At 41.9% G+C, this 15,511-nt stretch overlaps 3 annotated features.

Moving 5' to 3' along the window:
- Nucleotides 2,554–2,883: an enhancer, noted in NCBI's record as "active region_22695". NCBI's record gives its function as "activates an Ori minimal core promoter by ATAC-STARR-seq in GM12878 lymphoblastoid cells {active_cell/tissue: GM12878}" and the evidence as "EXISTENCE:reporter gene assay evidence [ECO:0000049][PMID:35858748]".
- Nucleotides 2,984–3,053: an enhancer, noted in NCBI's record as "active region_22696". NCBI's record gives its function as "activates an Ori minimal core promoter by ATAC-STARR-seq in GM12878 lymphoblastoid cells {active_cell/tissue: GM12878}" and the evidence as "EXISTENCE:reporter gene assay evidence [ECO:0000049][PMID:35858748]".
- Nucleotides 5,187–5,266: an enhancer, noted in NCBI's record as "active region_22697". NCBI's record gives its function as "activates an Ori minimal core promoter by ATAC-STARR-seq in GM12878 lymphoblastoid cells {active_cell/tissue: GM12878}" and the evidence as "EXISTENCE:reporter gene assay evidence [ECO:0000049][PMID:35858748]".

Consider the following 15,511-nt stretch of genomic DNA (forward strand, 5'->3'; position numbering starts at 1 on the left):
CCTCAGGCAGAAGGGAGGAGGGGAAATTTAAAGCAAAATGACTAGTACTTCTCAAGGTTGAAAATAAAAAAATTTTTGATAAATTATTTCTAGAGTCATAGTCAATGAAAAAATTATTTCAACTAAACAAGGATTTTGTTAACATACAGAATTTTTATAAGTTAACACACAAGCTTTTTAAGTTTCTAAGGCCTGGACTTTTCACGTGTGTTTCAAGGAATAGATTGAGTTCAAAAAACCTTAAATTTTGCTAACACAAAAATTTTTTTTGTCCAGGCATGGTGGCTCACGCCTATAATGCCAACACTTTGGGAGACTGAGGCCAGAGGATCATTTCAGACCAGGAGGTTGAGACCAGCCTGAGCAACATAGTGAGACGCCATCTCAATTAAAAAATAAATAAATAATTAACCTGGCACGATGGCATGCCTGTGGTCCCAGCTACTCAGGAGGCTGAGGTGGGAGGATCGTCTGAGCCCAAGAGGTTGAGGCTGCAGCGAGCCATGATTGCACCACTGCAGTCCAGCCTGGGCAACAGAGTGAGACCATGTATCCAAAAAAAAAAAATGTTTTTTCCACCAAGCTAAAAATAGCATTTTTAAGGAAATGGAATGCTTGGCTATTGAATATACACTTGGAAAATTTTAGGTTATACTTCTGAATTTAAGAAATTTTAAAAACTGTTTGCCGTTGGCATGTCTTTGAGGAAGTTGAGCTACAGAAGCAAGTGGAAAAGGTTAAGCAGCATTGATGACCAAGCTATTTAAGTTTCTGGGGCCTGGACCATCCATTAGCAGCTTATCTTCAGCCAGGTGCTGTCGTGAAAATTAAGGGGAAAAACAGTTCACCAATGGTAATTTCCTGGCATAATTAGCCTGTTATGTGGCTATGCCTTTTGAAACTACTAGACCAAATGTGTGTGAAGAGTAATTGACCACAGGATAAACCTAATTGTGTTTTGTGAAGGAGGTGTGGTTAAGTGAGCTGCAATGTGAGAAGAGAGGAGAAATTCTCTAATGCAATTATTCTCAGAGTTCCTGAGACTCTCAGGAGATCTGCAAGGTCAAACTCTCTTCAAATACCAAGATATTATTTGCCTTTTTTGGTCTGTTTCTCTCATAAGTGGACAGATGAGTTTTCCAGAAGCTACACAACATGTGAAAGTGCAACAGATTGAATGCAGAAGCAGAGACGAAAATCTGACTGTCTCCTATTACACCAGTCATTAAAGAGATTGCAAAAATGTAAAACAATGCAACTCTCCTCCTTAAATTATTGTTTTGGGAAAAAATTTTGAAAAATATAGTATTTATTTTAACATGTAATGGGCTTATTGTCATTTTTAGCTGAAATAGATATTTTCAAAAGTTCTCCATTTTAATGTCTAATATGGAAAATATCAGTAGATAAAATCATTGGCAGCAGGGTGCAGTAGCTCACACCTGTAATACCAACACTTTGGGAGGCCAAGCCAGGCGGATCACGAGGCCAGGAGTTCGAGACCAGCCTGGGCAACATAGGTAAACCCCATCTCTACTAAAAATAAAAAACTTAGCTGGGTGTGGTGGTGCACATCTGTAATCCCAGCTACTTGGGAGGCTGAGGCACGAGAATCACTTGAGCCTGGGAGGCGAGGGTTACAGTGAGTCAAGATGGCATCACTGCACTCCAGCCTGGACGACAGAGCAGAGCAAGGCTGTCTCAAAAAATGAAAAAGAAAAAAAGTCAGTGATGTGCTGCTAAGCAGGATCTCCACAAAAAGAAAAAAAGCCTGATCTGGCAAACTAGCATTTGCCAATTTTGATGGTGTGAATACTCCCTTCTTTTCCAGTTTCAAGCTCCCAACTGTTTAACAGTTGGCTTGACAAATTTCCTGAATATTGAATTCTTGTGAGCAGGTACAAGTTGACTCCAGCACACCAATGGATGCAACCCACATAAACAAAGGCTCTTTGCTGGTCCTCAATAATTTTAAGTGTATTAAGGTGTTCTGAGCAAAAGAAGTTTGAAAACCACTGCCCTTATCCAAGATGTCCCAACTTTATTGACTTGAAGAAAACAGATAAACTGGTAATTATTATAAAAGCATAAAAGCAAACAGGGGTAAAGAGTTGGCTTAGAGCTGCAGGCACCACTCTGGGTTTCTGGCTGTTTCAGAGCTGAGGGGTTCCAAGTCTTGGAGCAAGAAACTGATTCAACATCCAGGCTCAGTGGCTCACGCCTATTATCCCAGCACTTTGGAAGGCTAAGGCGGATGAATGGTTTGAGCCCAGGAGTTCGAGACCAGCCTAGGCAAAATGGCAAAACCCCGTCTCTACGAAAAATACAAAAATTAGCCGAGCGTGATGGCTCATGCCTGTAGTTCCAGCTACTTGGGAGGCTAAGGTGGGAGGATGGCTTGAGCCTGGGAGGCGGAGGTTGCAATGAGCCAAGATGGTGCCACTACACTTCAGCCTGGGTGACAGAGTGAGACCCTGTCACAAAAAGAAAAGAAAAGATACTGATTCACGTCATCAGGTATGGTGTGGTCCACAGAACAGGAAGCTCTGTGTGAGGTCTGATTTTCAGCCACCTGCTGTGTAAAGGAAAGAGAGAGGTGCTTGCTGAGCAAAGTTTCAGACCAGAAGACCAAGAGACAATTCAGAACAGCAGCAGATTCTACCCATGGTGGCATTCCTGTAAAGTGAAACTCAAGCGCCAAGTTTGTTGTCATGGGGACTGTTGATTGCATGCTAGTCTTATGGAAACACACGGAAAACCAGAGGTCAAATTCAGTAGCATCTCAGAATTCAGATAACACAGCATGTACAGTTTCAACCCAGCAGGCTGTGTGTTTATCACTTCAGGAAATGACTCATAAGCAGTAAGGAGATGAGCTTTGAAAGCTGCATCTGGCCAGGGCACGGTGGCTCACCGCTGTAATCCCAGCACTTTAGTGAGGCCGAGGCGGGTGGATCACCTGAGGTCGGGAGTTTGAGACCAGCCTGGCCAACATGTGAAACCCTGTCTCTACTAAAAATACAAAAATTAGCCAGATGTGGTGGCACACACCTGTAATCCCAGCTACTCAGGAGGCTGAGGCAGGAGAATTGCTTGAACCCAGGAGGCAGAGGTTGCAGTGAGCCGAGATTGTGCCATCCAGCCTGGATGACAAGAGCGAAACTCCATCTCAAAAAAAAAAAAAAGAAAAGAAAGCTGCATCTATAGTAGCCTGCATGGTGGCAGGGCCAGTCTGGCTGTTTTGCCTATCTTAATGACTACATCTGCAGGTCATTTTGGTGTGCTGCTATGCGACCCATCCAAGGAAGTGAAAACACCACGAAGGGTGGGCTGTCCAATACTGAGATGCATTCGTGAGCAAAACCATAATCATTTGATATCTATTTTTGTTGTTTTGTTTCCTATCCTGGGATATCTAGTTGCTCTTGAAACTAGCTGACACATATTTTAAAAAAAACAAGACAAATAATATATTCCCATCCTCCAGAAGCTAACTGGCTTTGGGATTTAATCCTAATACTTAATGTTTAGTTAGGAAGCACAAAATTTGAAGACCTCAGATTTAGAATTTTATCAGCTCTGCCTTGTAACAAGTTTTAGAAACTAAATCAGTTGGCCAGGCCTGGTGGCTCATGCCTGTAATCCTAGCTTTTTGGGAAGCCAAGGCGGGCGGATCACCTGAGGTCAGCAGTTCGAGACCAGGCTGGCCAACATGGTGAAACCCTGTCTCTACTAAAAATACAAAAATTAGTCAGACATGGTGGCACGTGCCTGTAATCCAGCTACCCGGGTGGCTGAGGCAGGAGAATTGCTGGAACCCGGGAGGCAGACGCTGCACTGAGCCGAGATGGCACCACTGCACTCCAGCCTGGGCAACAGAACGAGACTCTGTCTCAAAAAAAAAAAAAAAAGAAAAGAAAGAAAGAAAAGAAAAGAAACTAAATCAGTTCTCAACTCTGGTTGCGCATAGAATCACTGGAGAGCTTCTAAACAATTCCAGTGCCAATCTCTGGGGGCGAGGCCTGGACATTGATATTGTTTTCAAGCTCCTCAGAAGATTCTGATGTGTAAACCAGGGTTGATACTAAGAAAAGAAAAATCCCTCAGCAGTCTGAGCTATGTGAGGTGTGCAAAATTTATTAGGCCCAGAGAGACGGGAGTAGAGGACTTCAGTCACACCCCCGGCACATACCCTCCCCCTACCCACCACCCCCCATGCCTGTGGGCAATTATTTAAAGTCATTTTGTTCCTGGTGGTGTGGTAGCTCATGCCTGTCATCCCAACACTTTGGGAGGCCGAGGCGAGAGGATCCCTTGAGGTCAGGAGTTTGAGACCAGACTGGTCAACATGGTGGAACCCCTACACTCCTAAAAATACAAAAATTAGCCAGGCATGGCAGCATGCTCATGAAATCCCAGCTACTCGGGGGGCTGAGGCAGGAGAATTGTTTGAACCCAGGAGGCCAGAAGGTAGAGGTTGCAGTGAGTCAAGATGGCGCCACTCCAGCCTGGGCAACGGAGAGAGACTCCATCTCAAAAAAAAAAAAGGCATTTTGTTCCTGACTAGCTACATTCCCTGTTATCTTCATGTTCCTGGAATCTGTGATACAAAGAACAATGTGTATCCAATCAACAGCTTATGTTATTTTAATGTAAATTTTGATAAACAACTTAGGAACTGCCTCTTTTCCTTTATAAACATTCACATGCAACTGCTGCTAATCAGATTGTATATTCAGGACAACTTGAATATACACTTCAATATACACTGGGTTGCAGTCCTCAAGCTTGGCCCAAATAAACTCTCTACTTATATTAATTTTGACTCAGCTTCTTCCTTTTAGATCAACAATACCACTGTTTTTGAAAAGTGCTTCTTAGCTTATATACTGCTGGTGGGAATGTAAAGTATTAGTTCAGCCATTGTGGAAAGCAGTGTGGTGATTTCTCAAATAATTTAAAACAGAATTATCATTCAACCCAGCAGTCCCATTATTGGGTATATACCCAAAGGAATAGAAATCATTCTACCATAAAGACATCTGCGCACAGGTGTTCACTGCAGCACTATTCACAATAGCAAAGCTATGGAATCAACCTAAATGCCCACCAATGATAGACTGGATAAAGAAAATGTGGTACATATACCCCATGGAATACGATGCAGCCGTAAAAAAGAACAAGATCACGTTCTTTGCAGCAACATGGATAGAGCTGGAGGCCATTATCCTAAGCCAACTAATGCAGAAACAGAAAACCAAATACCACATGTTCTCACTTATAAGTGAAACTAAACATTGAGTACACATGGACACAAAGAGGAGAACAACAGATACCAGGGCCTACTTGAGGGTGGAGGATGAGAGGGAGAGGACTGAAAAACCACCTATCGAGTACTATGCTTACTACCAGGGTGATGAAATAATCTGTACACCAAACCCCCAAGACACACAATTTACTTATATAACAAACCTGCACATGTACCCCTGAACCTAAAGTAAAAGTTTTTTAAAAAAGAAAAGAAAATAGTGTTTCTTGGCCAGGTGCAGTGGCTCACATCTGTAATCCCAGCACTTTGGGAGGTGAAGACAGGAGGATTGCTTGATGCCAGGAGTTTGAGAGTTTGAGACCAGCCTGAGCAACATAGCAAGACCCTGCTAAAACAAATGTAAGAATTAGCTGGGTGTGGTGGCACACGCCTGTAGTCCCAGCTACTCAGGAGGCTGAGACAGGAGGATCCTTTGAGCCTAGGAGTTCAAAGTTACAGTGAGCTGTGATCTGTCTGCTTCTCAAACTTTAACCTGCATACAAATTACCAGAGTCTGCTGCAACTGGTCCGAGGCTGGGTCTGCCTGTGTAACAACTTCCCAGGTAAAGTTAAAGTTGCTCCTTTTGGACTATGCTTTGAATAGCAGTGCTCTCAGAGATAGCCCCGAGGCAGAATTTGGCTAGGTTGCAGGTCCAGGGATCCAGAAAATCAATTCTCATATTCTTAAAATCATTTTCTGAGACAATTTTTTTTTATTCTGAGAAAATTGGGGCAATTTTTAATGTAGTGGCAGCATATGTTCTTAATCAAAATTTGTTGTAGGTGATATCTATCTTGCTGTATGCTTCCTCTCCTCTTTCTCCCTTCTTTGGTTCTTTTCTAGGGAAAAAGATAGCTTAAATGGCTCTAATCTTATACATAAAACCATTTCAGAAGACACTGGGGGTTTAAAGTGGCAACTCCCATTTTTTAAAGATAGTGCCCGGCAGATAGCGGCAGCGCCTGGTTACCAGAAAGCAACTGTGGATATTTTTCCTGTCTCTGGGTCTGGCTGAAAAATGGTGACCTCAGGGAAGCACTAGGGTGCTACTTAGCATTCAGGAGCTTCAGTCTTGATGGAGCTGGAATGAGAAGTTTTGCAAACCCAAAGGCAAATGAGTCAGCCCAGGGATCATCATCAGAGGATCCATGATTCCACTGTGCCTGGGGAAAACCAAAGATTTTGTTAATCAACTCTGGGAACACATTTACAGCACATTCAGTAAACTTGGAGTAAATTCGTCATTATAGAAGCCCTCTTACAAGTTGATTGAAAAAACTAAATGATGAAAGAAAAACTACAATTTGTTAGCCAACGTGGGAAAAAATGTTACATCTCAGCGATAATCCAATAGCTGCAATTTAAAACAAGATAACACCGGCTCGTGTCCAATTAACAATGATCTTTTTCTATGATGGCTAAAACAGCTCCCTAATAAGTATTACAGAAGGAATGGAGGAAATAAGGAAAATAATATAAATACCAGAAAGGGTAAGATAATGTCGGTGGACACACTTTAGGAAAGCAATTTGACAAAATGTCATCATCCTTACATGTTCATAACCTTTGACCCAGTTGTATGACTTCTGGGAATCTATCAAGAAATAATTACAAATAACATCAAAAAAAGTAATAGGCTTCTGGTTGTTAATAGCAGCCTTATTTGCATGTTAGCAGAAGACAAAATTCCTCTAGATGTGTAATTTTAAAGGACTTCTCCAGAGACTATTATACCCTTTAACAATGAGACGTTTTAAGTGTATGTAACGACACAGAGCAGTGCTTATAATGTTTAATTTTTTAAAAAATAAGATGCAATGATATACAAGCAGTACAAAACCAACAAGATGGGGAAAAATAGATCTAAGTCAAGGCAAAGACTAATGAGAAATATACCAAGATGTTTAAACTTGCGTTTTGGTAATTGGGTCATTTTTTTTCCTTTAAAGTATTTTCTACTTCTCTCTTTCCTGAGTATGTACTGCCTCTCTAGCAAAAAAGCAACCCACATTAAAACAAAAGTAAAATAATCTGAAAAAACAAACAAATCTTTCTGACCATCTCCTAGCCACAATTAGTATTTTGTGCCTCAATATATTATTCAAGCAGGAAATAATGGTGTTAGGAAATCATATGATTCTACATATAGTTGACATCTTCAAGATTCTCCCAAAATATCTTGTGGAACTCTGAAATTCTCAAAAACATAAAAATATCTTTAGCCATGGCCAGGTGCAGTATCTGACACCTGTAATCCCAGCTACTTAGGAGGCTGAGGCATGAAAATCGCTTGAACCCTGGAGGTGGAGGTTGCAGTGAGCCCAGCCTGGGCAACAGAGCGAGACTCTGTCTCAAAAAAAAAAAAAAGAAAAAAAAAAAAAAAAGTCATTAGCTATACTCTGAAGCCAGAAATGTTTCTATTTGTCCCCAGCAGCTACCAGAACATTCAGTACAGCATTCTGTCATCATAACCAGAGCACGACTTTTTACTCTGATAGTCTTTATACTTGTGCCAAAAGGGCTATTCATTTGTTTTCTTCTGGAATTCATATTTCCTCATCAAGCAGCAAATATTATTTTTGCAAAACAAAACAAAAACTTTGACTGATTTTATTGCATAGTTATGTTAGTCCTCTTATTCTTGAAATTAATGAATGTGTGTAACCCACATTCTATTATTCAGTATTTTAAAAATCTGATTAATTATCCCATAAGCTCTTTTTAAAACATACTTGAGCTTTATTTAATTTCTGCATTCTTTGACCCATGTTGTTGGATCCTTAATTTCACTTATTCATTTTCTTACAATTATTAAATGGTCTCTTACATGGTGAGACTGAAGCTGGTATCCATAGGCTTGTTGCTTCTGTATAATGAAGGCAGCTTCAGTAGTCGATTGAACCACCCAGCAGTGACTACATTCAGTGCTTCTGGAAATGGAGTCCACAAAAGTCTTTTGAGCTGCTTGTTATAATGCAGGTTTTTGGTCTCCATCCCGGACCTAAAACCAGAATGTTTGGGATAGGACCTGGATCATCTGCATTTTTAACAAGAGCTGGGGGTGATTCTTATGCAAACCAAACTTTGAGAACCATGGATCTAGTTTTTACATGAAATCTCTAACCTAGTAAACCACAGTTTATTTGTTAAAATGCTAAAGTTTTTCAGAGTTGACCTGTATATTATCATGTCTCTCAGTAAAGTTATCGGAATATTAGTATTCTTTAGCTATAACCCCCTAGATATTGACCCTAAATATCTGACTATATCCACTGAAAGATTTAACCTTACAAACAATTGTCTCTATCACTTACTCTGCCTTGTCTCTCCTCTCCTCTAGAAATACAAGTCAATGCCCTGTATTCATGTAGGATTTTTATTGTATTTTTTTTAATAGGTAACACTCATATGGTTCAAATTTCAAAAGAACAAAAGGATATACAGTGAAAAATCACCCTTTCCTTTCTGTCATCTCCTGGAAGACAACCACAGTTAACAGCTTCTTGAGTATGGTGTTGAATCTATTTAAAAAACAATCTGGAAACTCATTATTACTTTTGGTAGGAAAGCTAAAAGAGAGTATACAATAAGCTTTTTTTTTTTTTTTGAGACGGAGTCTTGCTCTGCTGCCCAGGCTGTAGTGCAGTGGCACAATCTTGGCTCACTGCAAGCTGCCCCTCCCAGGCTCAAGCAATTCTCCTCCCTCAGCCTCCCAAGTAGCTGGGATTACAGGCATGCGCCACTATGCCTGGCTAATTTTTGTATTTTTAATAGAGACAGAGTTTCACCTTATTGGCCAGGCTGGTCTCGAACTCCTGACCACAAGTGATCCCCCCGCCTCCACCTCCCAAAGTGCTGGGATTACAGGCGAGAGCCACCGCGCCCACAATAAGCCATTTTATTTTTTAATGGTATCTTTCAGTTTTAAAAACTCCTTTTGATGTAAAGATCTCAGTCAGATATTTGCTGCATAACAAACTACACAAAACCCCACAGGCATATAACAACAAGCATTTATTGCTAATATTCTGGGATAGCCAGCTAGGTAGTCCTGCTGATGTGTCTGGGGATCTATTGGCTGATTTAGGAAGGCCTGGACTGGGATGACTGGGGTGACTTACTGGGTTCCATATGTCTCTCATCTTCAAGTACACTAATCCTGGCACATTCCCATGGCAATGGCCGAGGTGTTAGAGATAAGAGAAAGCATGCTGGACATCGGGAAGTGTAAGACTGGGATTGGCATGTTCTCACCACAGTCACAGTCTACTGACCAAAGCAAGACACAGGCCATCCCAGTTTTAAGGCGATGGAAAAATAGACATTGCTTCTTTAGTGAAAGGAATTTCAATGTCACATGCAAGGCCATGGCTATAGGGAGTGATGAAGAATGAGGCTATCACCAAAATCTACTGTACATAAATGACTGAAAATTCATTACAATAATAATACTTGGCTTAGTGTTCAAGTATTGTACTTTTATAAAACTGTCCTTGTTTTCTGAAGATTTTTCAGTTGTATATGTATATTTATATTTTTGGGGCGTGGAGTCTCACTCTGTTGCCCAGGCCGGAGTGTGGTGACACGATCTCAGCTCACTGCAACCTCTGCCTTCCGGGTTCAAGGGATTCTTGTGCCTCAGTCTCCCAAGTAGCTGGGACTACAGGCTCCCGCCACCCTGCCCAGCTAATTTTTGTATTTTCAGTAGAGATGGGGTTTCGCTATGTTGGCCAGGCTGGTCTCGAACTCCTGATCTCAAGCGATCCGCCCACCTTGGCCTCCCAAAGTGCTGAGATTACAGGCGTGAGCCACTGCACCCAGTCATTTATGTGTATATTTCTAAGGTCAACGGAAGAATTGTGAAAACATCTCAAAGACCTGGGACCTACACCCAGCCAGTCAGCATATACCTTTCCACTGTCATATGTGAAATGAGAAAAACAGGTGGGGTATGGTGGCTCATGTCTATAATTCCAGCACTTTGGAAGGCTGAGTCCAGAGAATTGCTTGAGCTCAGGAGTTTGAGGCCAACCTGGGCAACCCGTGAGACCTTGTCTCTACTTTTATATAAAAATAAAAGTTAAAAAAAAAGAAAAAGATGGATAATGACTCTGGGAAACAGGAAATAGAATGTTTCAAGTTGTACCAAAGAAAAGTGCCATTTTAATTGAAAATTTTACCTCCTCCAGCAGGGGTGCTGATGTACTAACAAGCCACTTTCAGAAAAACAGTGTGATCAAGTACAGTTTTCATTCTTTTATGTCAACATGTTTTTTGAGATTATTTTTCGTATTCTATACTGATTTAAATCTTTGCCTTTTTAAAATCAGAATAGTCATGCTTACAAAGTGACCCTTGAAAGGTTTATGAAACAAATGTCAGGGGTGATTCTGGTTTCTGCTTTCCATTTAACTTAATTTCAATTGCTATTTGCTTATTTTAAGAAATAAACTTTGTTTCTTAAGATGACACTGACTCTGATGCTATCAGTAGCCTCATCCTGATCTTTAAAAAGTAACCTTTTAACTAGAATTTTCAAATACTTTAATATGCATGTGGAATTACTTAGACAGTTAACATTTCTTGACCCACTCGCATTTAGTCCTATTGGCTGATAGGCAGTAACTGGAAAATGCAGCATTTCTTTCTGATAGACAGTGAGAAGTAAGACTTCGCGACACTCAGTGATCAGGCCATAGCTCAATGAGTCTATGCATACAGTTAGGTTGGAATCTGTTTTAGAGGTTTGAGTATGAGACGAGCGTATCCTAGCTGATACAGTTTGAGCTCGTCCCCATCAAAACATGATCCCCAGTGTGGCCATGTTGAGAGGCGGGTGTATTGGGAGGTGTGTGTGTCATCGGGTGGATCCCTCATGGATGTCTGGTGCCATTCTCCTGGTAGTGAGTTCTTGCCCTCCAGACTAGATTAGTTCTCCTGGGAATGTTCCTTCAAGAGTGGGTTGTTATTGTTGAATTAAGTTTAGCCCAAAGCGGCCTCCTTACATATTTTAAGTTGGCCCTAAAGGTTTCTCCCTACATAACAAACTGTAACCTTACTGAATGTGTAAACAGACTATAACCTATTCTTGTGCCAGTCACTAAGTTTTGGCCAATTGAAGGCAGTTAGCTGTTCAAACCGTGTTCAAATAAGCCAAACACCGAGCTGTGGCCAATCCAGCTGTTACTGTACCTCACTTCTGTTTTCTCTATGTCGGTTTCCTTTTGCTGTGCATAAATCTTCCACCAGGCGGTTCTGCGCTGGAGCCTCTTTGAACCTATGTGCTTTAGGGGCTGCCCGATTCGCAAATCCCAAATCGCTCTTTGCTCAGTGTAACTCTGTTCGGTGTAATTTGTCTAAGGTTTTTTCTTCCATCCTTATAAAACCATGACGCTGGCCGGGTGCGGTGGTGGCACTTTTCGAGGCCAAGGCGGGAGAATCACATGAGATCAGGAGTTCGAGACCAGGCTGGCCAACATGGCGAAACCCCGTCTCTACTAAAAATACAAAAAACAAAAAACAAACATTAGCCGGGCATGGTGATGCGCGCCTTTAATCCCAGCTACTCGGAAGTCTGAGACGGGGAATCCGTCAAACCCGGGAGGCGGAGACTGTAGTGAGCCAAGATTGTGCCAGAGCACTCCAGCCTGGGTGACACAGCAAGACTCCATCTCAAAAAAAAATGAAAGTAAAAAATAAAGCCACGATGCCCTCGGATTTTCCTCTCTTCTCGTGTGTCTGCTTCCCCTTTGACCTTCTCCACCATGTTATGACGCAGCACAGAAGCCTTCGCCAGCAGCAGAACAGATGTCAGTACTAGGCTTCTTCAACTTCCCAGCTGGCAGAACTGTGAGCTAAATAAACGTTTTCTTTATAAATTACCCAATCTCAGGTGTTCTGTTATAGTGGCACAAACTATAGACTAAGACACTAGCCTCAATGGAACAGGTATTGCCTTTGTAAATTGCTGACCACTGACATCAGCACTCTCCATAATCTGAGATACAGAAAAATATTGTACAGCATTATCTATGCAACATAATCCTGTAGAAATTCACCTCCTCCCCTTTGCCCTTTTTCTTTATGTTTGTCACTGATACCCACAGGCATAGTTCATAGGAACTGGTGGCCCTCTGAGCTCAGCCAGAAGTCAGAGAGATTTTCAAATGGAAGGCTATCCTGACATGGATGTGAAGCAACTGGACATCGTTTTTTTTGTTTTTGTTTTTGTTTTTGTTTTTTGAGGCACAGTCTCGCTCTGTCACCCAGGCTGGAGTGCAGTGGCATCATTTTGGCTCACTGCAACCTCCACTTCCTGGGTTCAAGCAATTCTCCTGCTTCAGCCTCCCAAGTAGCTGGGATAACAGGTGTGGGCCACCACGCCCGGCTAATTTTTGTATTTTCAGTAGAGACGGGGTTTCGTCATGTTGGCCAGGCTGGTCTTGAACCCCTGACTTCAAGTGATCTGCCTGCCTCAGCCTCCCAAAGTGCTGGGATTACAGGCATGGACCACTGTGCCCAGCCAAAATGTTATATATTTTTATTGTGATGGTAGTTACGTAGCTATATATATATTTTTCAAAATTCTTTGAATTTAAAATGGGTGCAGTTTTTGTACATAAATTTTACCCCAATAAAATGGAAGTTTTTAACAAAAAAGACTCAACATCACCAATCATTAGGGAATTGCAAATCAACATCATAGTGAGATATCACTTCACACCCATTAAGATAGCTATTATTTAAAAACAACTACAATAGTGCCGGGCGCGGTGGCTCACGCCTGTAATCCCAGCACTTTGGGAAGCCAAGGCAGGCGGATCACTAGGTCAGAAGATCAAGACCATCCTGGCTAACACGGTGAAACCCCGTCTCTACTAAAAACACAAAAAAGTAGCTGGGCGTGGTGGTGGGCGCCTGTAGTCCCAGCTACTTGGGAGAATGAGGCAGGAGAATGGCATGAACCCAGGAGGCAGAGCTTGCAGTGAGCCGAGATCATGCCACTGCACTCCAGCCTGGGCGACAGAGCAAGACTCCGTCTCAAAAAACAAACAAACAAAAAAAAAACTACAATAAAATCACATGTTGACAAGGATGTGGACAAATTGGAACCTTTGCACATTTCTGGTGGGCATGTACAACAGTGCAGCCACTATAGGAAACAATATGACAGTTCCTCAAAAAATTAAATGTAGAATCACTATATGATCCAGCAATTCCACCCCTAAGTATATACTCAAAATAATTGAAAGTGGAAACTCAAACCGATATTTGTATATCCATGTTCATAAGAGCATTATTCACAATAGCCAAAGGGTGGAAACACCCCAAATGTCTAACAGTGCGTGAATGGATAAACAAAATGTGATATACACACACAGTGAAACATAATTTGGCCACGAAAAAGAATACAATTTTGAGACCTGCCACAACATGGATGAACCTTGAATATGCATGCTAAGTGAAGTAAGCCAGACACAAAAGAATAAATATTGCAAATTTCACTTATATGAAAAACCAGAGTAGTCAAATTTATAGAGATGAAAAAATATAAGGGGCTGGGGGAGACGAGAAGGGGTAGTTATTGTTTAATGGATACGGAGTTTTAGTTGAGAAAGATGAAAAAGTTCTGGAGATGGATGGTGGAAATGATTATACAACCCTGTGAATGTTCTTAATGCCCATGACTTTTACCTTTAAAATGTTAAAATTTATGTTTTGTCTATTTACCATGATAGAAAGAGAGACAGAAAGGTAGAAAAAGAAACAGAAAAAAGAAAAAGAAGGAAAGAAAGGAAGGAAGGAAAGAAAGATGGAGGGAAGAAAGGAAGGAAGGACTCCCCTAATCAACTGTGCTTGTCTTGGGGCAAGACAGGACAAATGGACAGATGACTTTCAGACTCCACTGCCCCTGCCCAAGACCCCACTCTGACTTCTATGTCAATCAACAAATGTCTTGTTTTGGGAAATGGAAACAATTTATTCTGCCAGGCACATGGGACATGGGAGAGGCTTAATGAAAAGGCATCTGGATGAGGAGCTGGATCTGCAGATAGATCAGTGGAGAAAAGCGCAGCACATGCAAAGGTTCCAAGGTGGGGCCGTGTTTGGGTAACTTCAGCAGCCTGCTGTTGCGGGAACAAAGTACATGTGGCAAGCAAGGTCAGGAGGTACAGCTGGAAATTTAGGGTAGGGCCAGACAGAGGGATCTTGAGGGCCACACTTAAGTTTGTTTGGATTTTATCTCATAGGTAGCAGTAAACCTTTCAACAATGTCAAGGTGGTTATTGACTTGTGATGTGAGTTTTAGAAAGATGGCAGAGGAGGGATGGGCTGGAGAGGGCCAACCAGGAGGCAGGGGCCAGGAGAGGGTGAGCTTTAGGAGGTCCCTACCATTCTACAGATACCTCAAGCAAATCTGACCTGTAGTTCTTGGTTTATCCCAGTCAACCACAGGTCCTCTCAAACATCTTACACTCATATTCCTTTTTGAGAAACATTAAAATCTCACACTGCTTTAACATCTCATACATTTCAAAGTAAATTACTTTTGATTTAAAACAAATCAAAGCAATTTCTAATGAGAATGTTTTTCCAACTACACTAGTTAGTTGGAAAATGCAGCATTTTTCAGCTATACCATTCCTTTCTCCTCCCTCATTCTAATTCCTACTCAACTGGGAATCATTGTTCTACAGCAAATCTAAGAAGAAGTGTTATACATAAGTCCACCCTGGGCTATGAGGTTCGCTTTAAACAAGTCTGGTTTCATTAGCGCTTCCTTGGGCTCTCAAAGATGCTGCAGGCCCTGGCATGCCCCATGCTAGGAATGACCTCCCTTCACTTCGTTCTGGATGTAGGAGTTACCCGCATGAGCAGCATCACTACCCAGCTGAGTTCAATCTGCTTTGAAGGTTGCCTTTGCCCTCATTCCATCATTTCCCTGGTGTGCCAGGCCGAAAGGGTCACCTGGGGTGTGTGTGAAGCACAGAGGTGCCCAGGCATCTCTCTGGAGATGCTGATTCAGGAGTCTGCAGCTGGCATCTGGAATCTCTATGTTGAGCAAGTGCTCCACGTGGTTCTTGTGACCTGACAGTTTTGGAAAACATCGTGAAGACCCTGCCTGCTCTGCTGGCAGCTGCTGCTGTCACCCTGAGAAGAATAAAAGGTTCACGGCCCAGCAGATGCCCGAGCCTCTTTCA

The sequence above is a fragment of the Homo sapiens genome, chromosome 5 (assembly GCF_000001405.40).
Source record: "Homo sapiens chromosome 5, GRCh38.p14 Primary Assembly".
NCBI lineage: Eukaryota > Metazoa > Chordata > Mammalia > Primates > Hominidae > Homo > Homo sapiens.